General features: G+C 39.2%; 1 protein-coding gene and 1 non-coding gene across 54 annotated transcripts in view, besides 1 other annotated feature; both read right to left on the bottom strand.

Annotated features, from left to right (window-relative positions):
• Positions 1–23350, bottom strand: part of SIPA1L1 (signal induced proliferation associated 1 like 1) — a 420734-nt gene that overhangs the window by 326938 nt on the left and 70446 nt on the right. For 18 of the 53 annotated variants that reach the window (XM_047431227.1, XM_047431215.1, XM_047431240.1 and 15 more), the window contains exons 1-2: positions 13354–14953; positions 258–324 (exon numbers count right to left, since the gene is read on the bottom strand). The exons of 13 other annotated variants lie outside the window; for them this stretch is intronic. The gene's annotated coding sequence lies outside the window, so the exon portion shown is untranslated. Of the gene's footprint in view, positions 1–257; positions 325–13353; positions 14954–23350 lie in introns of those variants that run through there. 22 more of the 53 variants (XM_047431251.1, XM_047431209.1, NM_015556.4 and 19 more) reach the window with 4 other exon arrangements.
• On the bottom strand, positions 15865–15935 carry SNORD56B (small nucleolar RNA, C/D box 56B). The gene has a single exon (NR_001276.1). It is a non-coding gene; the product is annotated as a small nucleolar RNA, C/D box 56B (small nucleolar RNA).
• Positions 21776–21845: an enhancer, noted in NCBI's record as "active region_8674". NCBI's record gives its function as "activates an Ori minimal core promoter by ATAC-STARR-seq in GM12878 lymphoblastoid cells {active_cell/tissue: GM12878}" and the evidence as "EXISTENCE:reporter gene assay evidence [ECO:0000049][PMID:35858748]".

Below are 23350 nucleotides of genomic sequence, written 5' to 3'. Positions count from 1 at the left end.
AAGTAGCTGAGATTACAGGTGTGTGCCACCACACCCAGCTAATTTTTGTATTTTTAGTAGAGACAGGGTTTCACCATGTTGGTCAGAATGTTCTCAAACTCCTGACCTCAGGTGATCCATCCACCTCAGCCTCCCGAAGTGCTGGGATTACAGGCGTGAGCCACAGCGCCTGGCCAAATAGCAGGTCTTCTAAGAATGACAGTTTGAGTGACATTTCCTCCCTGCAATGTGACTTTGGAACTAATCCACCAACTCACCTTATTCCATTTCAAAGTTAGTAGTATATCTTGCTTTTGAGTGCAACTTCAGGTAATCTCTCAAAACCTAGATTAAAATAATTATGAACTTTATTAGTAGTTATTTCCAAATTTTGAAAAACACACAACTATAACTCATAGTAAGTAAAAGGGGAAAAAAATCACCACTACTAATCAAATCACAATTATGAAATTTTATACTTTGTCTCTAAAACCTTCTTTAATTGGTAATCTCTTTATGTGCAGCTCAATACACATTTATTGGGCTTTTGTTTTTTAGACGGTGTTTTGCTCTTGTCGCCCAGGCTGGAGTACAGTGGCAAGATCTCAGCTCACTGCAACCTCCGCCTCCTGGGTTCAAGCAATTCTCCTGCCTCAGCCTCCTGAGTAGCTGGGATTACAGGTGTGCACCACCACACCGGCTAATTTTTGTGTTTTTAGCAGAGACGGGGTTTCACCATGTTGGCCAGGCTAATCTTGAACTCCTCACCTCAGGTGATCCACCCGCCTCAGCCTCCCAAAATGCTGGGATTACAGGCGTGAGCCACTGCACTATGCCCCGCCTCAACACATATTTAAATTTAAGCCAACCAACAGCCATTCCCACTTAAACAACAAATTCTTGCTTGGCTATTCATTCAGTCTGTCCACAGACTGCTACTCAAAGATCTCACCCTGGAAGCTGTATGTATAGAAGAAAAAACAACAACAACAACAAAGTGATTTTGATGAGTTGGTCCATCACATGCCTATGGGAATCACTATTCCAAAATACTAGTTCTCTACAGGGAGCAATTTTGTACCCACAGGTGACATCTTGCAACATCTGGTAACATTTTTGGTCATCACAAGTGAAGTGGGGGGTGGGCACACTATTGGCATGTAATACACAAAAACCAGGGAAGCCACTAAACATCTTACAATGCACAGGACAGTCCCCTCCAACAAAGAATTATCCTGCCTAAAGCGAAAATACTGGTGAGGTTTAGAAACCCTGTTCCGAAGAAACCAAACACTGCATATTTGGAAATTCCACAATTCTCACACTGCTCATTTCAGATCACCTACTAAGCTCCCACCATGGTTGTATTTCCTATGAATGCTAAGCTTATTGGTTAAAAGAATACCCACACACATGCCCAATAGTAATCATCTACAGCACATGTACCAATTTCTAAAATGTATTAAATAAGTCAGACACGTCCATAAGAGCTTCCAATAAATAATTTTAAACACTATTTCAAACTATGTAATTGCCAAACTCTGTTCCCAATCACATAAAATGGAAGCTAAGAAGAATAAAAATCATCAGAACTTAGTAGTTTCACTCACAGATATTCCCAATTCCTACTGAAGACAAAAGGGGAAGTTCCTCTTCCCAGCCTATCACCCCGGACATTAGGCCTCCCACCTTTTATTCAGCTAAATAAAAAAGCACTTCAAACAAGACTTACCAAGGGCCTATCATGCCCTCACACTATGATCTCATGTAATACGGTAGAACAGAGCTCGGTAAGACCCCGCAACAGGCCTTTCCTACACTACCATAACCAAATCGTACAAATATCAGAAGAAAACCGTGGGTAAAATAAACCTCTAAAGAAGGAATGTCCAATCTTTTGGCTTCCCTGGGCCACAGTGGAAGAAGAATTGTCTTAAGCCACACATAAAATACACTAACGATAGCTGATGAGCTTTAAAAAAATTGCAATAAAGTCTCATAATGTTTTAAGGAAGTTTACAAGTTTGTGTTGGGCTGCATTCAAAGCCATCCTGTGCCACATGTGGCTCGTGGGCTGCAGGATGGACAAGCTTGCTCTAAAAGATATTCTGAGAGTCAGATATCTAAGATAACAAAACTTGCTGTTTTTACACAACTGGCCTGCAGCTTGCACCCATAGAATAGGTGAAGAAATCTATAACACTCAAAATATGTACTTCGTTTTGTTAATCTTTAACTAATGAGCTACAACTAATTATATAAATAAGACATGGCTGGCAGCTGATCTGCAGTAGTAATCCACTTAGGAACATGAATAAACATGCAAATTTTAAACTCAAGCAAAAGGACAGGATTTATGAACACACTTAGAAAGATTCCATCAGAATTACTCCATTCTAACTGAACAAGATTTCCATATGTGGCAAATGGGCTTATTCTAATTAAAGTCTGACTTTGTCTTCTGAATCCTCAGTGTACACAGGAACTACCCAAATCAGGCTGAACTACAGTAACTCGAAGCAGCAAGCGGGCCAGGGGCTGTGGGTAGTGGGGCAAAGACCGGTGCTCGTACCCCAAAGCACCAGAAGGTTTGGCAGTCCAGGTAGAACCTGTGCCAGAGGCAGGACTCCAGTCGGGAGCTCCCACTCATTGCAACCTCTGGCCCAGCCAACTCCTTGGGAAGCTTTGCTGAATGCTATGCTTATCCAAAGCTGAAACGGAGTAGAAGAGGCTAACATAAGTTCTAGATTCAAGGTGCCCGTGAAATCAGTGTAGAGACTACCACACCTCCACTACAGAGAGAAGACAACTGGGGAAGGCAGCCCCAGTTAAGAGCTAGAAAAATAATGACAGGTTCAAGGACAACTTCTCAATATCTATCAATGGCTAAGAGAACAAAGCAATGCTACAAAGAAAGGAAAGCCCAGAAATTACTAGGAAGGTTCAGAAGTTGTAGTGCACGATATGAAATTTAACCTCTACCCCCTTTTTCTAGATTTAAGTAAGTCTTTAAATAAAAAACTCATAATAAAGTTTCAAAACATAAACATTTTTTCCCTCTCTTAGCAGCAAAATATATTCAGTTCCAAAAAAGAAAGGTTGCTCAATTTCCTGTCAAAAGCAATCAGGAGAAGGCCACCTACACTGTAAAAGCAGCAAGAAAAAAAAAACAAAATGCTAAAGAAAAGTCTGATGTGTGGGCATATACAAAGTGCAATGTAACTACCACCCTGAGTTTTCAAAAGTTCTTTTCCCTGATCATTCTGAGAAATATGAAAATTAGTATAACTGCTAAAGAGAAGTTTGACCTCCAGCCTATTTAAGGAAAACAAGCCCTATGATGGATCTAAGTCGCCTCAAAGAAAGACAGGTATGGAGGGAGGGGGGAAGGAATTCTATGTATTTAACCTATGGTTTTCTGTACCAAAGGAAAAGGGGAGATTCTGCCAAAGAGACAATTTGCATGTAATGTTCTCACAGAAAGAACACTATTCTGACAATGAACCTTCTCCCTATAGCTAACCTTACCCCCCACCCTGACTCACACAATTTTGTGAACTAGAACCATCTTCATCCAAGGCTGAGTATTCTTAATCTGAAAACATGAAATCGGAAATACTCCAAAATCTGAAACGTTTTTAATGCCAACGTGACTTTTAGTGCTCAAAGGAAATGCTCATTGGAGCACTTCAGATTTCAGGTTTTCCGATCAGGGATGCTGAACTGGTAAGTATACTACAAATATTTCAAAATCCAAAAAAATAAAAAATCCTAAACACTTCCGGTCCCAAGCATTTTGGATAAGGAAAACTCAACCCATATGTTTAACCCTAAACGTTTAGGGGCCAACCATTCACAAATATGTATGTGAGCTGACTAGATTATGAATTAGCTAGAGCATCACATCCACCACTCTACCAAATGCCCCTCACCCTGCTTATACTTCCTGAAAATTTGAAATTCTAAGACATGCAATCAACAGCCCAGCACTTTGAAAAGTAAACTAAAAGCCTACTGAAATATGCTTAGTACTAAGGTAGACATAGTGTGATGAAATAAGAAATTGCTTTAATGGCTCACCAGCGGATTGAGAAGAAAAGAATAGCATACACAAAGTAAGTTAAAATTAAATACAGTATTGTCATTGAATACAATGAGCTGCCATATTTTTGTAAACTACACTTTCCATTCAAAGAAGCAGTTTGGCACAAAGGCAAAACAGATGAAGGAAATAAATAATGAGCCAAGAATGTATTAATGTGATGATTATAAATATTAAAAAACAGCATACCGAAAGACAAATCAAGATGTATAATCACAGGAAGGCCACCATGGTCGGGTAGTTTCAAGACAAGGCAGCCCAAAAAGCAAGCCCCGTAAACCTTATAAATGACTTTGATAAGCTAACAATTCTGTTACTAAGTCAATTATGAAAAGTTTTGTTTTGTTTTACTTTATAACTTCAGACCAACCTACAAAAATGTTGCAAGAACACTACAGATAACACTTTTTTCCCTGAACTATTTGAGACTAAGTAGCCAATGTGATGGCCTATCACTCCCAGAGTTTAGTGAGTAATTTCTATAAACAAGGGCATTCTCCTACAAAACTACAATGATGACCATCAAAAACCAGAAATTAACACTGATGTTATATAGTCATCTACTTTACAGACCAGATTTGACTTTCTCTGATTAGCCCAATCCTTTTACTAAAAGGTCCTTTCTCCAAAAGGACCCAGTCCTTTTACTAAAGGTGAAACCTAGTTTTCACCTTTCCCTTCCCTGTAAGAGTAGTAAATCTGGCTCCCATTAACTTCAATGTTTATTTATTGGATTTATCCCTCACACCACATGTCATATAATGCCTTCCCTACCTGTGATCCTGTATCAGAAAGAGCCAGTCTCTCTAACCAAAGGACCCATAAGGGGGTGGCCTGGCAAAACAAAAAGTTTTAGACAAAAACCACTCTACTCTAGCCACACCACGGAAAAAAAATCTTCAACCCCACACCCACATCCCATCATCAAAGGCCAGGTGGAGAGCCAAGAGTTCTACACTCACCTGGTTCCGATGAGGCACCCTTATTTATAGACTACATGTAAGAAGACACCATTTTTACAGAGCCCAAATGGGCAAAACTAAGAATATATTACTTACAGATATACTCACTTTAAAAAGCAACAGAATGTTGAACCTGAAGTTCAGGACAGTGTTATTTCCAGAGGGAAAGAGAAGGAGGGGATCACGGGGGAACACACAGTAGCTTCAAAGTAAAACCTGCAAATGCTAAGCACGAGTTCCTCGACATACAAGATCTGAGCCTCACCAAACCATGAGGAGGTCTTTAGGAGGATCCCGATTTTACATCAGAGATTTGAGGGCTAAAAAGGTTAAGCCCACTGCCTGTGGTCACACAACTAATAAGCAAGTGCTCAGATGCAAGCCCACAGCTGTCTGACTCCAGTCTCTTCCTGCTCACTCCCTTCCTCAACACAGAGAAAAGACAGGCAGGAGAATTGCAGCTGTGATTCTGAACCAACTGGTGGCTTCTAAGGAAGAGATTCCTACTGTACTTCTAAACCATTTCCCAGAGAGTTTTGAGTAAAGGCAAGTGTAGTTCCAAAACCAGGGGGGAAAAAAATCTTCCTGAAAGCAAGGAAAGGGGAAAGGGGGTGGAGGCACAAACCTGGGCTCTGCTTGGCACTGCAAGAGCTATGTGAACAATCCTCGAGCGAGAGTCCCCATCACATTCCACAGGCTACCAAGTCAGGCCCAATTCAGTTACTAAGTAAAGGCCCTGGGAAAATCTTATTACTCGTTGTTTTTGTTTTCTTTTATTCTGAAACTGGGGGACAGGAGACAGAAGACCAGCAAACCATTCGTAAAATTCTAAACCTAGCCTAAATATGGTAAAACTATAAACTGCTTAGCCCACAGCATGAAACATGAAATTAGTGACAAAATTTGAGTCTCTTTGAAGAATTCATATAAAGGAATACGAAAGCAGAACAATGCTTCTCTGTAGCAAAGACCAGACACTTGGGAAGCTTAAATACCACTCTACTATCTGAGGATGTTTTAAAACTGATTTCTAAAAACTAAAAAGATGGAACTACATAAAAAGATAACAGAAGCAAAAAAAATATTATTGTCTTCTCAAAACATCAGAAATAACTGTATTCTAACTGCATTTCTGGTAGAGGTATCTCCAGAACCCATCAAAGTCATTAATAACAACTCACATCACCTGGAAAAATCTCATGATCAGCACTGATGATTTTGTAACCTTAGTTCATCTTTTCTAAGACTATATTTAAAAGGAAATCAAGTCTTTCCATTGTTGACTTTCCATCACTGGTGGAATATAATTGAATCCAAGATAATTTTAAGCCTAGCTTCGCCTACAAAAAAACAAAACAAAACAAAAAATCCTGCTAAGCTCCATCTCCCCCTGCTGTCAACCTGTCCTTTCTAAAAAGAAAAAGTCTAGAAACAAGGCCATACACCAAAGAAAATGCTACAGTATAAAAGAAATAAAAGGACATACAAAATGGTATAAAAATAATTCACCAGCCTGGACAACATGGCAAAACCTTGTCTCTACAAAAAACATAAATTAGGCAGGTGTGGTGGCACACGCCTGTAGTCCCAGCTACTTGGGAGGCTGAGATGGGAGGATCATTGGGGCCCAGGTGTTCCAGGCTTCAGTCAGCCCTGATCATGCCGCTACACTCCCAACTGGGCAACAAAGTGAGACCCTGGGAGGGAGGGAAAGGAGGGAAGGGAGGGAAGGAAGGAAGGGGAGGGAAGGGAATGGAGGGAAGGGAGGGAGGGAGAGAAGAAAGGGAGGGGAAGGAAGGAAGGAAGGAAGGAAGGGAAAGAGAAAGAAAGAAAAGAAAAGAAAATTCAAAATTCATGCAAACTTCGTGTTGCAGCCTAAAACTGTCTACAGTATATCAAAGCAAAGGCATGTAAATTCATCCTCTAAATACAATAAGCAGGTGAGAAGCAAAATCAAAAATAAATCTCACTAGATAAAAATGGAAAGCATTTAACACACAATCGTACAAGGTGAGGAGTATTTTTTATTAAAAGCTTTTTAGTTACTTTCTTCCACCTCCCAGATTTGAGCAATTCTACTGCCTCAGCCACCCGAGTAGCTGGGATTACAGGCATGCGCCACCACACCCAGCCAATTTTTTTTATTTTTAGTAGAGGCAGGGTTTCTCCATTTTGGCCAGGCTGGTCTTGAACTCCTGACCTCAGGTGATCTGGCTGCCTGGGCTTCCCAAAGTGTTGGGATTACAGGTGTGAGCCACCGCGCCCAGCTACTTTAGTTACTTTCTTTATGAAAAGTGATCAGGTGCTAATGAAATCAGCATCTGGCATTATAAAGATAAGAAGTTATCCCAAAGAATATCTCAATGAAGAATGCTGAATAAATTCATCCACAGGCACTTGTTTCGTTCATCCTACTGCACTAAGCCTAAGTGGTCACAACACAACTAACAATTATCCTTGAAAATTAAAGGAGAATAGCCCAGCTTTAAAACAAACTTAAAATCTAGAAAAGAAAAAATATATTACTTCAACTTCAAAAATGGGAAAATCCTGAAACATACTGAAGAATTTCTTTGTAAACTCCTAGATAATGAATTTTGGGTAAAAATCAATATGGCTTATTAAAAAATAAATCCCCCCAAGGTAATCTAATTTACTGTTATTGAGGCAACCCTCTTATCAAGGGACCACAAGAATTGTATTTCTTATCTTAAATATTGATTTGATAACCATGAAGACACGAGAAAGGTGTTCTTCCCAGAAAAGCACATCCCAATGGTTCTTTGACCCCAAGTCATAAAAATTATTCTTATTCTTCCTGTCCCTGTAATTCTAAACATAAAATTTCTGCAAAGACAGAGACAAGCAAATGAAATGGCTGAAAAAAAAGGCAAAGAAGTGATGACAAGATGTCAGTGGCACCCATATAATCATTATAACCTTGCAATATATACAGCATATCAGAAATTTTTATAGGTTAGTTATCTTCATTTTTGAGGCTTCTCCATCTCAGCAGAAGTTCATCTTCCCAGTTGCTCAAGCCAAAAACCTACAATTCATTTACATTCTTCTTTCACACCCCACATCCATTCTGTGAAGATCTATAAATTCTACCTCCCAAAGACCATCTTAACTCCTTTACTTCTCTCCATCTCCACTGTCTTCACATTGGTTGAAGCCATTGTTATCTCTCGACGAGACGCTACCCCAGATTCCTCATTAATCTTCTTTCTGCCCATGATCATTTTCCACAGAGTAGTCAGACTGACTTGTTAAAAGGTTAGTAAACTACATCTTACTATTCCCCTGCTTAAAAGCCTCTAACGTGTTCCCATGGCCTCAGATATCAAGAAATGTGAAGAATGTAAAAATTCTGCCCTACATGTGAGATAACAAGTTAGCCTGCCACACAGCTATATAGATGCCTGTGGAAGACATGAGATGCCAGGGTCAGAGATAAAAGACATCATTACAGCAGTAGCAGTAGCCAAAGTATCAGTATTTTTTGGTGCTAGTCCCTTAAGCCTCAATTCCCACCAGGTGACACAAAGAGAACAAGATGACCTCAGCACAACAGCAGGTTGTGTCACAGTAGAGTAACTCCGAGCTTAGTGAACTGAAATATTTTGTAATGGGCAGTAAGCTTGCCTGGCCTTTACCCCAGAAGGGGCATTCTCTTTCTCTTCCAAGGCCATTCACTATACAAATCATCCTTGAAAAGATCATCCAGAAGAAAGACAGTCAATGTACAAACACAAGAGACAAGTGGAGAACTGTCCCCCAACATTAGAGTAGGAGCCAAGTTTCTTGCTATGGTCTATAAGGACCTACATGATTAGTTATTTCTCTTCAATTTCATCTGGAACCTCTGTCTCCCCAGCATACTCACTTTAGCTCCACTGGCCATCTTTGATGCCTTCCAATGAGCCAAGTTCTTTCCTGCCTCAGGTCCTCAGCCTGCACTGGTCCTTTTGTGAAAAATGCTCTTTGCCTAGCTTAGGTGTCACTTCCTCAGAAGGACCTTTCCTGGTCAATCTATCTACTTAAGCAGCTATCCTCACTTGTTATTACCTTTTTACCACTTTGCTCACTCATTCATTTGTGCAATAAGCATTTACTGAGCACCTACTATGTACCAATCATTGTTACCATAGGCACAATAATTACTTTTGATACTTGTTATTTACTGAGTCTTCCTCAAGGTGGAAACCTTGTCTTTTTATTCATCCTTAAATGCCTAGAGCTTAAAATTGTACATTCATTAAAAACTCTGTTGAATGAATGAACTATTACAATACCAAGAACCAAAACATTTGCAGATCGGTATGGGAAAGCAGCATGACACTGCACAAGAAGTATGGAATTGGAGCTAGACGTCCTAAATTCAAACCCCAGAATCATCATTTAATGGTGCCCAAGGAATTCTACTAAGTTCTTTGTAAAATGAAATTCTTTCCTACCTAACTCACAAAATTATTGTTAGGATCAAATAACAGAATTTAAATGGACGGCCTTGCAATGCTAAATGTAATTCAAGGCCTGTAACAAATTAATAGTTAATACATGCCTACTGTTAGGCTGGTCCTAGTACTGAAACTTACAATAAAAATGTATAACTTAAGTGAAATCAGAAAACACCTTGTCCTTTAATAAACTTGAAGGGGAAAAATGGTTCTTCCCCCTAGAACCTTGGGCTCTGTAGCCCAGGCTGGAGTGCAGTGCGGTGGTGCAATCTCTTCTCACTGCAACCTCCACCTCCTGGGTTCAAGCGATTCTCCTACCTCAGCCTCCTGAGTAGCTGGGATTACAGGCGCCTGCCATCAAGTCCAGCTAATTTTTGTATTTTTAGTAGAGACAGGGTTTCACCATGTTGGCCAGGTTGGTCTCGAGCTCCTGACCTCAGATGATCTGCCCACAAAGTGCTGGGATTACAGGTAGGAGCCACGGCACCTGGCCTAGACATGCTTTTAAAATTTTCAGATAAAAGTGAGTTGCCTTTACCTGATCTTGATCCTAAAATACTAAAAGAATGCTTTTTGGTTACCAAAGTTATTTTTAAGCAAGCCAATCCAATGCAAATTTACAAAAAGTTGACTATAGTTACACCCCTGAGTGCCAACCTTCAAAACAGAATTTTTAGCTTTCTGGCAAAAGTCATGAAACTATAAATTTTAAGTATTAATTTACTGACTTTAACTGAAACCAAAACAGTCTCTTCACTGTGATGTGGGTGGGTGGGTGGGTGGGTATGTGTGTGTGTGTGCAGTCAAGGGAAAGTAAGCTTCATCCTACAATAGATATAAAATAGTAGTTTCAGAGGCAAGGCACCAGGTGGCCTACAGGAGGAAATACAGTGATCATACTGAAGTGTTAGCAGAAGACTGGGACTGGCAACCAGACTACAAACCAGACCATCAACTCAGACAAGCTGCACAGCTGGCTTGAGCTCACCCATCCACAAGCTCATTTACTATAACCTCACAATAAAATTACTCAGAATTTAATTTTGAAGGGTACTGCTTCTATGATCTAACACTGAAGTATAAATTGATAAAAAGGATAGCCATTTTAAAAAAGTAGAATGTGAAAACAATATGATTAAGATTTTTTTTTTTTTTTTTTTTTTTTTGAGACAGAGTCTCAGCCTGTCACCTAGGCTGCAGTGCAGTGGTGCAATCTTGGCTTACTGCAACCTCTGCCACCTGGGTTCAAGCGATTCTCCTGCCTCAGCCTCCTGAGTAGCTGGGATTACAGGTGCCTGCCACCACGCCCAGCTAATTTTTTTGTATTTTTAGTAGAGACGGGGTTTCAACATCTTAGCCAGGTTGGTCTTAAACTCCCGACCTCATGATCCACCTGCCTTGGCCTCCCAAAGTGCTGGGATTACAGGCGTGAGCCACCGCGCCAGGCCAAGATTCTTTTTATGTAACATTTTTCAAACTCATTATACATATATGTAAATAACTAATAGGTACACTGTGCTAGCAAAAAGAAGGAATATGAATTGGTACTTCTAAAACTTAAACTCAAAAAGAAAATATTGAGGCAGAGAAGTACATGAAAAGTCTGTTTGGCACTGCTATGAAAGATACCCAGTTTAAGAAGAATGGAGACAGATGATCTACAATGAACATATAAGTGGCATTAATAGGGGCACATATTTCAATATATATAATTATATTCAGAAGCTTTTCATTATTCATGTGAAGGTCTCTCAAAAACGTGCATCTTTACATGTTATTTTAAAGATGGCTACCTATTCCAAATGTGGAGGGAGAGGGGGACAGCGGCAGTTATAAAACTGTTCACACAGTCCTCAATAACCACAAATACTATTATAATAGTAAAAATAAAATCTAGGACATCTAGAAACTTCCTCCTTGATATTAATTTTAAATACCAAATATCTAATTGTCTTCCAATTAAGTAATTTCCCTTATAAATAATAATGATAGTGTCTCCAATATGCCAGGCACATATTCTTTACATCACATAACCAATACAACAATCCTAGGACATGGGCATTATCTCTATTTTAGGAAGGAGTATAATAATCAGTGAAGTTTTAAATCTTACCCAAGGCCAGGAACAGTGACTCATGCCTGTAATCCCAGCACTTTGAGAGGCCAAGGCGGGCAGATCACATAAGGCCAAGAATTCAAGACCAGCCTGGCCAATATGGTGAAACCCTATCTCTACTAAAAATACAAAAATTGGTCAGGTGTGATGGTTCACACCTGTAATCCCACCTACTCAGGAGGCTGAGGCAAGAGAATCACTTGAACCCGGGAGGCGGAGGTTACAGAGAGCTGAGGTTGCACCACTGCACTCCAGCCTGGGAGACAGAGAGAAACCTTGTCTCAAAAAAAAAAAAAAAATTTACCCAAGATAAATTAAGAAGTGGTGGCACTGTTATCTAAACCCAAGACAATCCTATTCCAAATCCTTGCCTTTTTTATACAATGCCATCAATATATTGCCTCTCAATAATAAGTTAATTTTCAGTGTGTTCCCAGCACTATATGAATGAATGAGACTCATTATTTCATCTAATTCCTATAATACTCTTGCAAGGTAATTATTAGCCATATTTTTTTTTTATTTGAGAAAAGACTCCTAACAGTTAAGTAACTTGGCCAACGTCATACAGCTAACTTAATAACGGGACATGCAGGGATCCCACCCTAAGTCGCTTGATACAAAGCCTAAGTTTCTACCATTGTATTATGCAGCCTCCACCTTATATTATTTACAATAATTGTAATTTAGGCATAATTTATAAATTATTAGTTTACTGTTGACAATGCTACATAAAAATGCATGTTACTAACAACAAACTGTTAAAATGCATATTTTATATTTTTTCAGAAAAAAACTGGAAAAACACACAAATAAAAAATCTTATATTTATGAGTGATAAGATTACTGGTAAATTTTTTTATTTCTGTTTTTCTGGTTTTTCCTTAATTATGATATATAACTTACCAAAAGTTAATTTTTTTCTTAGCATTCATTTAACATTTTATATTTTTAGTTATGCCTATCTGCCTTAACTAAATATAACTTTTGCTAAAAAATATTGGGTTAAATGGGAACATTAACTGAGGAAAGTAATATAAAGAAAAATGTTTTAGAGTACACACAAAAAAGCTACATTTCAGGACAGGTATGTTTCTTTCTGTTTTCTGGAACCTATCAAAACTAAATTCTGATTGTAAAACATGATAAAGTTTAATATAACTGCAGAGTTGAACAAACAGACGAACAACAAAGAAAAATACGTCATACAATTAAATCAGACAGCTTTTAAGTAACACTAAAAAAAAAAAAAGCAGCCTTTTTATTTTATATTTATCCAAAAAAGAATAAAGAAAGTAAAAAAGAGGTATTCAGAATCCCATTAACTTGGAGGCAATGTTCAAGGAAAAGTACTAAAACTAGCCAAGTCAGTGTAACTTGAGAAGAACACCCTTGGAAACTACAGCACAAAATCATCTTGGAAAAACATCAGTTTTAGTGACTCTTCGGGCATTTGAGCAGATTAACAGTAATCTGAACAAACTACTTAGTGGCTCTGAAATGTTGCTTAAGCTAAACAACAAATCAGAAGATGAATACCCATAAGCAATCAAATTTACTTTTCAAAATACATACTCTTCTCATTTTGCTCAATGACCCCATATCATGCTCACTAAACCTCTTTGGAAGCACTGCTCCTTCGTTGTGGAGGCTGCTGCAGTAAGTGCAACCTGAAAATGGGAGGTACATAAATTTCATTTCCCTAAAGGAAACCACCACTCTACTACTCACTGCGTAATCTGACAAGAATTTAGCATTTGTCTTAGAAGCCATCAAGTGATATGCACTCCAACAGAAGCACAGAATCAGGAGGGTAGAAAAGGAGAGCTTCAACTTTTTCCAAAATGTTTTAAGACCTGAAGCAAATACGACAAAACATTAAGATCAGATGAAGCTGGAAGGCATTATATTATTCCTTATCCTTTCCAGTTTGTTTGAAATATTTTAAAATTAAAAACAGTAATGTTTAATATGTATATATTAACATATATACATATTAACATATATATGTATATATGTATATATTATACAGGTTAACACAACACTCATTCCTCCTAGTATATTTGAATCAATAACACATACATACATACAATCTCAACATCCCTCCAGCCTTATCTGTGCCGCTTGACCACCCAAGGCAGCCACTGCTGACGTGAATACCAAACATTCCCTAAGATTCAATTTGCTCCTTTGCAAAGCATGAATTCATAAAAAGTGCCATATGATAGGATAAAAAAATAAAAAATGCTTTATGTAATGATGCCAAAATAGCCTTAAGTCCCGAGATGGTTTATGTGGATGCCTTCAATCCATTTTTAAAATGAAAATAAGTAGGTTTACTTCTTGAAATGGCACAATTCCAGAACAGATAGTCCTAATCCCCCAGAGAAAAGCACAGGTTCTCAAGGCACCTTACAAAGTATGCCACCTACTTTTCACACCAGAAAAGTCACTTTTGGTATTAAGATGACAAGAAGATATATTAATGGCAAGCTCAGACCTTTAAAATGTGAGTTCTTGGGCTGGGTCTGGTACCTCAGCTGATGCCTGTAATCCCAGCACTTTGGGAGGTGAAGGCAGGCAGGCAGACTGAGCCCAGGAGTTTGAGACCAGCCTGGGCAACATGGTGAAATCCCAACTCTAAAAAAAAAATACAAAAAATACATTTTGTGAGGCCGAGGCGGGTGGATCACTTGGGGTCAGGAGTTAGAGATTAGGCTAGCCAACATGGCAAAACCCCGTCTCTACTAAAAATACAAAAATCAGCCAGGTGTCATGGTATACACCTGTAATACCAGCTACTCGGGAGGCTGAGGCAGGAGAATCGCTTGAACCCGAGAGGTGGGGTTGCAGTGAGTCGAGACTGCGCCACTGCACTCCAGCCTGGGTGACAGGGCAAGCATCTCAAAAAAAAATAAAATAAATAATAATAATAATAAAAGGTGTGGTGGTTTATACCTGCACCTGTAATCCCAGCACTTTGGGAGCAGAGAAGAGAGGATGGTTTGAGGCCAGGGATTCAAGAACAGCCTAGGCAACATAGCAAGGCCCTATCTCTACAAAATAAAATTCTAAAACCTAGCCAGGTATGGTGGTGTGCACCTGTGGTCCAAGCTACTCAGAAGGTTAAGATGTCAGGATTGCTTAAGCCCAGGGGTTTGGGGTTATAGTGAGCTACGATAGTACCACTGCACTCCAGCCTAGGCAACAGAGCAAGACCCTGTTTCAAAAACAACAGCAGCAACAAAAGTGCATTCTTAACTCTCTTCTCACTGAAAGAACCAGAGCCCACATTTGTATGGTGCTTTTGACTACATAGGCAAAAGACACTACGTGGAAACTGCTCTCATTTACAGGAAACGGATGGGGTGGATAATACAAACATCATCAACTGCCTCCCTCTTCCCTTCACTAGAATTTAAGAAACATTTGGTTAGTGACAAAACAAAAACTTGAAAAGCAGAAGTTCACAGCTGAAACAGGACTTGAATATGCATCAAGGAACATGTTATGAGCATCATAGTGGTCAGTCCTAAATGACATCATTTCAGCTGTGTGTTTCCTTATTCTCAAAAATAAGTGCTAAACTTAGTTGCCACTCCTCAATGAAAGCTGAGATCTATCTCCACCCTCACCAGCCAAACAGGTTAGATTTTAATTAAAGTGCAATTATTACTTTATTTAAGAATATGTATTTACTTTAATTCAAACACTTATGAAACATCTATTGGGTATAAGGTTCTGAGCAAAAAGCTGTGGAGCTCCAAAGATCATGATGATCTTGAACTTCCTTTTGAAAAGTTCACAACCTAATTCACAGAGAAAGATATGTAAAAGCAGCAAGGACACAAAGTGTAAATAGGTACCACTTCAAGGACAGCAAAAGACCACAAAGTTCTACTTTGTCCTTACTATCTATCTGGTGTCTGTCATCTAGCTTTGGCCTCACCCTTCAGAAAGCCAGGGAACTCAGGTGCCTACTTCTACATCATTTCTGGCATCCATGAACTTGTGTGCTATCAGTCATTCCGAGATTACAAAGATGATCATCAAATCTCAGCATCCCAAGAGTGTCAGCCACACAAGGCGTGTCACTCGGAGTCACTGCTCATGTGTAACTATCTACTTTTAAATACAGGGAATACATTAATCTGAATGAAACTTGGAGGACTTGTAGTTCTATCAGGTAGTTTAAGTGAGTACGGTATTTATTAATGCAAAAGAAAATGCTACAATTCATTTTCACTCAAACCCAAAGTATCAACATTCACTAGGTGAACCGCTGTTGACAAAAAATATTGCCATGATTGTAGTGAAAACATAATTTTATGCACAAAAATAGTTCAGAACTTTCAAGTAATACCTGGAACATAATAACCTTTGAAAATTAATCTAAAGAAATGCAATTAAATTTTGGTTATTTATGCTAACACGGTGAAACCCCGTCTCTACTAAAAATACAAAAAATTAGCCGGGTGCAGTGGCAGGCGCCTGTAGTCCCAGCCATTCGGGAGGCTGAGGCAGGAGAATGGCGTGAACCCAGGAGGCGGAGGTTGCAGTGAGCAGAGATAGCGCCACTGCAGTCCGGCCTGAGCAAAAGAGCGAGACTCCGTCTCAAAAAAAAAAAAAAAAAAAAAAAATTTTTTTTTTTGGTTATTTAATTCCAGTTAGGCCATCAACCTTTCAAGAAAAAAAGAAACTCTGTGTGGGAATTTGTCACATCTTATAAAGGTCAATTAAAAGTAGAACACAAACTCTGCCACCTAAGATGCTAAAAATGCCTGTGTACTTACATAAGATGTACAAACAAGATGAAATAGTGGCTTTTATGATTAAAAGGCTGCCTGAACAAAAGAAAGTCTGAATACTTGGCAAATAATACTAACAAAGCACTACTCCACTAACAACCAAACTGCAGAGAAAATAGTTCATTTGATGGAAGCAACTAGAAGGGCAAGGAGAGAGACTGAGGCATTGGCACTGGAAGGCTGGAAGGATTCCATGAAGTTTTTAAATGACCTGCTCAGGAGCTTAACTTAGCCTGCAGGCAGTGAGCAGCTACCAAAAGGTTTATTAGAAATTGTCACAATCAAAACCATATGTGCCTGTATGTGTGCACACACACACACATTATTCCCCACCCACCCCCCAAAAAATTTCAATAGTATTGTGAAAGACAGCCTGAAAGAGGAAAAATACTGAATAAAGAAATACTAGTAATAAGATACTATTATATATATATAAAGAAATACTAGTTAATAAGATTGCTGCAATTTTTTAGGTGAGACATGACTGGGATCTGAACTGGGGTAGTGGGAATAAAGAAAGAAATGAATGTAAGGGAGACTTAAGAGATAAAACTGACAACACACGGAAAACAATTAAATGTCATGATGGAGGAAAAATGGGACCAAAGTCAACTAAAATCCTTGGCTTGAAGGACTGGAGAAGATGGCTATACTGTTGTCCAAAGAAAGAAACTGCACCATCATAAAATAAATACACTATTCTCAGAAACAGTATTTCTATCAATATTACATTCAACTGACCTTTGAAGTTATTAATAGTTATCTTCAACAGTCAGAATCATCCATTAGCCACACAGAGGCCGGTCCTAGAAAGAGACTCAGCTCCAAATGGGCATTTTGAAATTTGTCCATTTAGTTTACCTTAAAAAACGTCAGTAAATAATTTAAATTTGTCAAAAAATATAAGATATTCTACAGAAGAAACATTCCACAAATGGAACTAACTCAAGATTCTCCATAATGAATAGCATTTGCTCAATGAATTTCATAATAGAATCTAATTTTAATGCTCTTGTTAATGAGTTTTAGCATTAACTCATTACATGGCATTTTTAAATATAGTAAACCTTTTTAAATGACACATGTAGCATAATATAACATATGATAAACTACTAACAATGCTACTCAAAACAACATAAAATTATAGATACACAACGTAATTAGGGTTAATGCTTAAGAGCAAAAAAAAAGTTTTTACCAAAAAATTGTATCAGTTTTACCATAACACCTTCTTAATATTCAACCTCAGATAACTGACCACTTGGACCAAACTGCTTTGCAGGACATGCTCGTTTCTAAAGATTAACGGACTGATCTTGAACTGAGAAAAAACACACAAACCCAAGTCAACAAGTCAAAGTACAAGGGTAAATGAACAAACAGGGGACAATAGTTGGCCAGGAGCATAAAAATTAGGTAAAAATAAGTGAGGCAAAAGAAACTAACACATTTTGAGGGTCTGCTAGAAGTCTGGCACTGGGCTGAGAAACCCAAGTGAACTGATTTCACAACCCAGACACTCCCCTCTTCCCCACACTCACTATATAAAAAGTCTTTAGATAATTGGGTATAAACTTCAAGAGGGCAGAGAAGGCTTGGTAACCAGCATATTGATGGGATCTAGAACAGCACCTGGCACAGAATAAGTCCTCAATAAATATTTACTAGATGCATGCATAAATGGATAAGTGGCTAGATGGCGGAAGGATTTTTTTTTTTAAATGATCTGGACCATGCATACAGAAGGAGATCCTGACACCTTAAGCAAGATAGGACAAGAAATGTTCTCCAAGCTACTATGTTCCCTTCTCTAAGGAGCACAGGACATCACAGTGGAGTGTAAAAGGCATGAGCTCCATCATCAGACCTGGATGGGAAGCCAAGTTTCAGACTTACCCTTACTTTGTCCCTGGGCAAGTTACTACTCGGTGGCTGAAATATGTAGACTAATTCCTTAATCTTGAAGTTGTAAAAAGCCTTAACTAAAATAACATATATAGAGTTTCTAGCAAGTACTTGGCGCATAGTTTTCATACTTAATAAATATAAATCCCTCCATATACTGGGCCAAGGGAAACAACACTGGTGCTGACACAGTCCTGGTCTTCAAGCCCACAAGAGGAGTCTCAGTGAAAAGAATCCTAGTGTGGTCTACAGCAGGACCAGCTCTTGAGTTTTCAAGAGACAGGGTCTTGCTCTGCCACCCAGGCTGGAGCAAAGCAGAGCAATCATAGCTCACTGCAGCCTCAAACTCCTGGACTCAAGTGATCCTCGCACCTCAGCCCCCAGTAGCTGGGACTACAGGCAAGTCCTACTGCGCCCAGCTAATTGTTTTTTATTTTTTGTAGAGACAGGGTCTTGCTATGTTGCCCTGGCTGGTCTGACACTTCTGGCCTCAAATGATCCTCCTGCCTCAGCCTCCCAAAACGCTAGGATTTACAGACATGGCCACCACACCCAGCCTTTGAGTCATTTTTAACCATCAATCCCAAAGCCTCACTCATCATATTATGTTAGCAGCATAAACAGTCATAGTATGAGCCTATGTACAACTCAAAAAGGAAACTGGACTCTGCCGGTCCAGTGAAACACAAAACAAAACAACACATGCTCTGTGGCTGACAATTTCACACTTGCCAAAATTACGCATATTTTTCTCTGTTATTACATCAAAGCTTCTTTCTTGAAAGTATTTGAAGTGTATTTTGTAGATCTGATGAAATTATGAATCATTACAAACTCTTTTTAAGAAAAATTTCCTAAGGGCCCTCTCCAAACTAAGAGACCAAAATAACTGCACATTTGGCTATAATTATGCCTTTATAGATTTTCTCTTTCTTATTTCAATAGCATCATATTATATAATGCAGCCCCATTATTAAAAATGACAACACCCAAATTTTTTATCCATTAATTGAAATGATGAAAATAATTTTTTTAACAAGCTCTAATATAGCTTCTTCTTTTGAGTTAGTATTAAAACGAATCACACAAATTATTTTAACTATCCTTCTCCTTACTGCTTATCCATCAGGCGAAGTCAGTAGCAGGTCACCTTAAGTTTATCTTAACTTTAGATGGTACCTTGGGCACATTATTCAACTACAAACTTCAGGAGTATCTACAATGTTTTTTGCAATAGGAATCCACATCACTTAATTCAAACATGATTCCAGATCACTAAACTCAAATACACAGTTAAACAGTTTGTTTTTGGATGAGGTCATTTTATTCACTGCTGATTTTAAATGAACATTATTACAACGGATGTCTATAGCAGGAGAGGCTGGAGAATAGGTGAAAAGGTCTGAACAGAGGAAGACGTCACACCAGAGACATTTCTCAAGCAAGATAGTTCTCTCTTATGAACAAGATCTGAGTATCATTCATCAAGTCTAGAGAATAATACATAAATGCAGCAGGAGATGAATGACATAATATTCTGGTAACTTCAAACCATTTTACAAACCATTTTCTAGCTACAAAATAATAGTAATAGAGGCTTCCAGTTAATGAATGGACATTTGGAAATTAATGCTGTATAATTAATTGGTGAATGGAGAAATTTAAACTAAGGTAATAGGGGAGGCACACCCTATTTTGATTAGAATCAGCCAGAAGCTATGAGAGAAAGGATGAGTGCCCAGTAGAACAACTCTCTGAAGAGATCTAGGCTGATATGTTGGCAGGGGATAAAGAAGAAAATTTGGGTAGCAAGTCAACACCTTCCTCCGCCCTTGCTGGCTTTGATAGCGCATACATCCCAAGAAGCTTTCTGAAGATAACAACGCTGCCCTAGCAATCTAGCCAGCTAGGAACAGGATTTGCTTATTCTACTATCAAATACTTGTCTGCCTGAAAATTTACCTCTCATTGCTTGTTAACAAGTGACTTTCTAGTAGACATCAATATTCAAAAAATTCTGTTTAAGCATATCAGATTTTCCAGGATCTGATCAGCCCTGGATAACCAGACCACTGGTGTTACCTGAACTACGAAGCTATTATTTCTTATTTTTTTAGAGATGGGGTCTTGCTGTATCACCCAGGCTTAAATGCAGTAGCATGATCATGGCTCACTGCAGTCTTGACCTCACAGACTCAAGTAATCCTCCCATCTCAGCCTCCCAAGTAGCTGGGACTTCAGGTACATGCCACCAATCCCAGCTGAAGTTTTTTTTGGTGGGGTGTGGGGAAGATAGAGACTAGGTTTTGCTATGTTGCCCAAGCTGGTCTTGAACGTCTTGCCTCATCTGATCCTCCTGCCTCAGCCTCCCAAAGTGCTGGGATTACAGACATGAGCCTCCACGCCCAGCCACAAAGCTATTACTAAAGCAAGTCCTGCTAGCATGAGTGTGGTCCAATAAGACTTTACAAATCGGCTTTGGCAAACTATGAGCTCCACACCATATCAGAACACAATCTGTTCTTTAGTTGTCCATAGTGTACACCCAATTTAATTTGGAACATTTCTTACCACAGATTTCCTGCACTTTCAAATGCATATTAATATCATCTTTCTTTACACAATTACTTATTTTAAATTTTCCTTAGCCTCATTTTACCCTTTTTTAGACCTAAGATGTGTTTCTTATTGAAAATATTATAATAACTTGACAATTTTTAAGGAGTACTATTAAAAGAAGGTAATCCAAAATACAACGTGGTCTTGCTAGAAACTAGGAATGCCCCTCCATATATCGATATCCTATTGGAATATTTAATAAGGGAGTCAAGAAAAGTACACTCTTACACACTTCAAAGGTTTAAATCAACCAATCGGTAAGTTCAACTATGTATTTATTATATCTCATGATGTTAAATTCCAAAGCCACAGCCACAATAAAGTATCAATATGGTAAGGCAAGTGAGAATTATACTCATTCATTGAAAAATTACTGAATGCCCAGAATGGGCCATTTATTGAGAGCTTTCAGGCACTGAAAAGTTAAACAGAATACATAATCCCTGTATTTAAGGATTTTATGGTCTAGGGGAGTAAGCTAAATAAAAAGTTTCGGCCAGGTGCGGTGGCTCACGCCTGCACTTTGAGAGGCCGAGACGGGCAGATCACGAGGTTAGGAGATTGAGACCATCCTGGCTAACACAGTGAAACCCCGTCTCTACTAAAAAAAAAAATACAAAAAATTAGCCGGGCGTGGTGGCAGGTGCCTGTAGTTCCAGCTACTCGGGAGGCTGAGGCAGGAGAATGGTGTGAAGCCGGAAGGCGGGGCTTGCAGTGAGCCGAGATCGCACCACTGCACTCCAGCCTGGGCGACAGAGCGAGACTCCTCAAAAAAAAAAGTTTCAATAGTACTGTAACAGAGGTATGTGTTATGAAGTAACTAACTTGAGCAAAGCAGAAAAACTCTACAGATGTTAACTTTTAAGCTGGTCCTGAGAGGAAAATAAGAATGTATTCAGCAAATCAGAGGAATGTTTAGGGAGAAGAAACAGCAAGGCACTGAAAGGCAAGAAATCACATTATGCAAGGACTTCACTACCACTAGAACAAACAAGGCTCGGTGACAGGCGAGTGAGAAGAAAGCGATCAACAGAGAAGGCAGAAGCCACATCCAGAGGGCCTCTGCCATATTAAGGCACTCAGCTTCCATCCTACAGATTATGGGGAACTCCTGAAGCATCTGCCTGCACCGGAGACTGTCTGTCCTCAGGAGATAATGGGTATTGGGATTTATAGCTTTCCTGCGCTCCCCAAGCCTCTCTGGCTTCCTCTTGCTTGGAGAGTTGAGACTTGAGGGCAAGGAGAATGGGTGGATACTCTTCCTCCAAACCTAAATGGACATAGGCTGAAAATCATCCTCAGGGTCCTCTTATACCCACCTGATGCTGAATGGCTTCAGATAATCTTTAACAGCGTGGAATCTTAGAATGGAAAGAGAACCAGTACAGCAGTCTACTTCTCAACTCTGCAAGAATCTGCTCAATACACCTTGATCTACTACTACACACTGGACAACCACAATGTCCTCCCTGTGCCTTCTTTCCTCAGAATCACTTGCTACGGTCCTCCCAACCTGGCATTACTTGAATTCCTTTCTGAAACTGTCTCCCTCTCTCCTTAAAATGTACTCTCCTTAGAGAGTCACTCTTTAGAATGTACTCTAGTTGGTCAGAAGACGACAAAAAGAACCCCCATGTTCTCTAACCATGGTAGAGTACCATAGGCACATTAAGTTCTCAGAGCAGAACATGCTATTTCTTGGCTAGCACTGACCTTTACAGAACTACAGGACCTGGATCATTTTAAATCTGTTGTCAAATAAAACACCTAATTCTTGTTCATATGAACTGTTCTCATAAGCAGCATTTACCTGTCCTTCAAATCACGTATCACAGTTATAATTTAACATTTATATGTGTGATTATTTAAGTAATGTCTACATTCCCAGCCTATAGACTAAGAATACTGAATGCGGCCGGGAGCGGTGTCTCACGCCTGTAATCCCAGCACTTTGGGAGGCCAAGGCGGGCGGATCACGAGGTCAAGAGATCGAGACCATCCTGGCTAACACGGTGAAACCCCATCTCTACTAAAAATACAAAAAATTAGCCGGGCGTGTGGCGGGCGCCTGTAGTCCCAGCTACTCGGGAGGCTGAGGCAGAAGAATGGCATGAACCTGGGAGGCAGAGCTTGCAGTGAGCCAAGATCAGGCCACTGCACTCCAGCCTGGGCAACAGAGCAAGAGTCTGTCTCAAAAAAAAAAAAAAAAAAAAAGATACTGAATACAGGCACAAAACTAATTTTTGTTGGCTTTTTTTTCTATTTCCTTTCCACTGTCATTGTCCTGTGAAGTCTTAGTATAGTGTCTATTCCAAAGGAAGGGTTCAATAAATGTCAGATGAAGAATTAGATACATATATTTAAAAATTACATGAAGCAAGATATATTGTCACCGC

The sequence above is a fragment of the Homo sapiens genome, chromosome 14 (assembly GCF_000001405.40).
Source record: "Homo sapiens chromosome 14, GRCh38.p14 Primary Assembly".
Taxonomy (NCBI): domain Eukaryota; kingdom Metazoa; phylum Chordata; class Mammalia; order Primates; family Hominidae; genus Homo; species Homo sapiens.
This window is presented reverse-complemented; position numbering and strand designations above follow the sequence as displayed.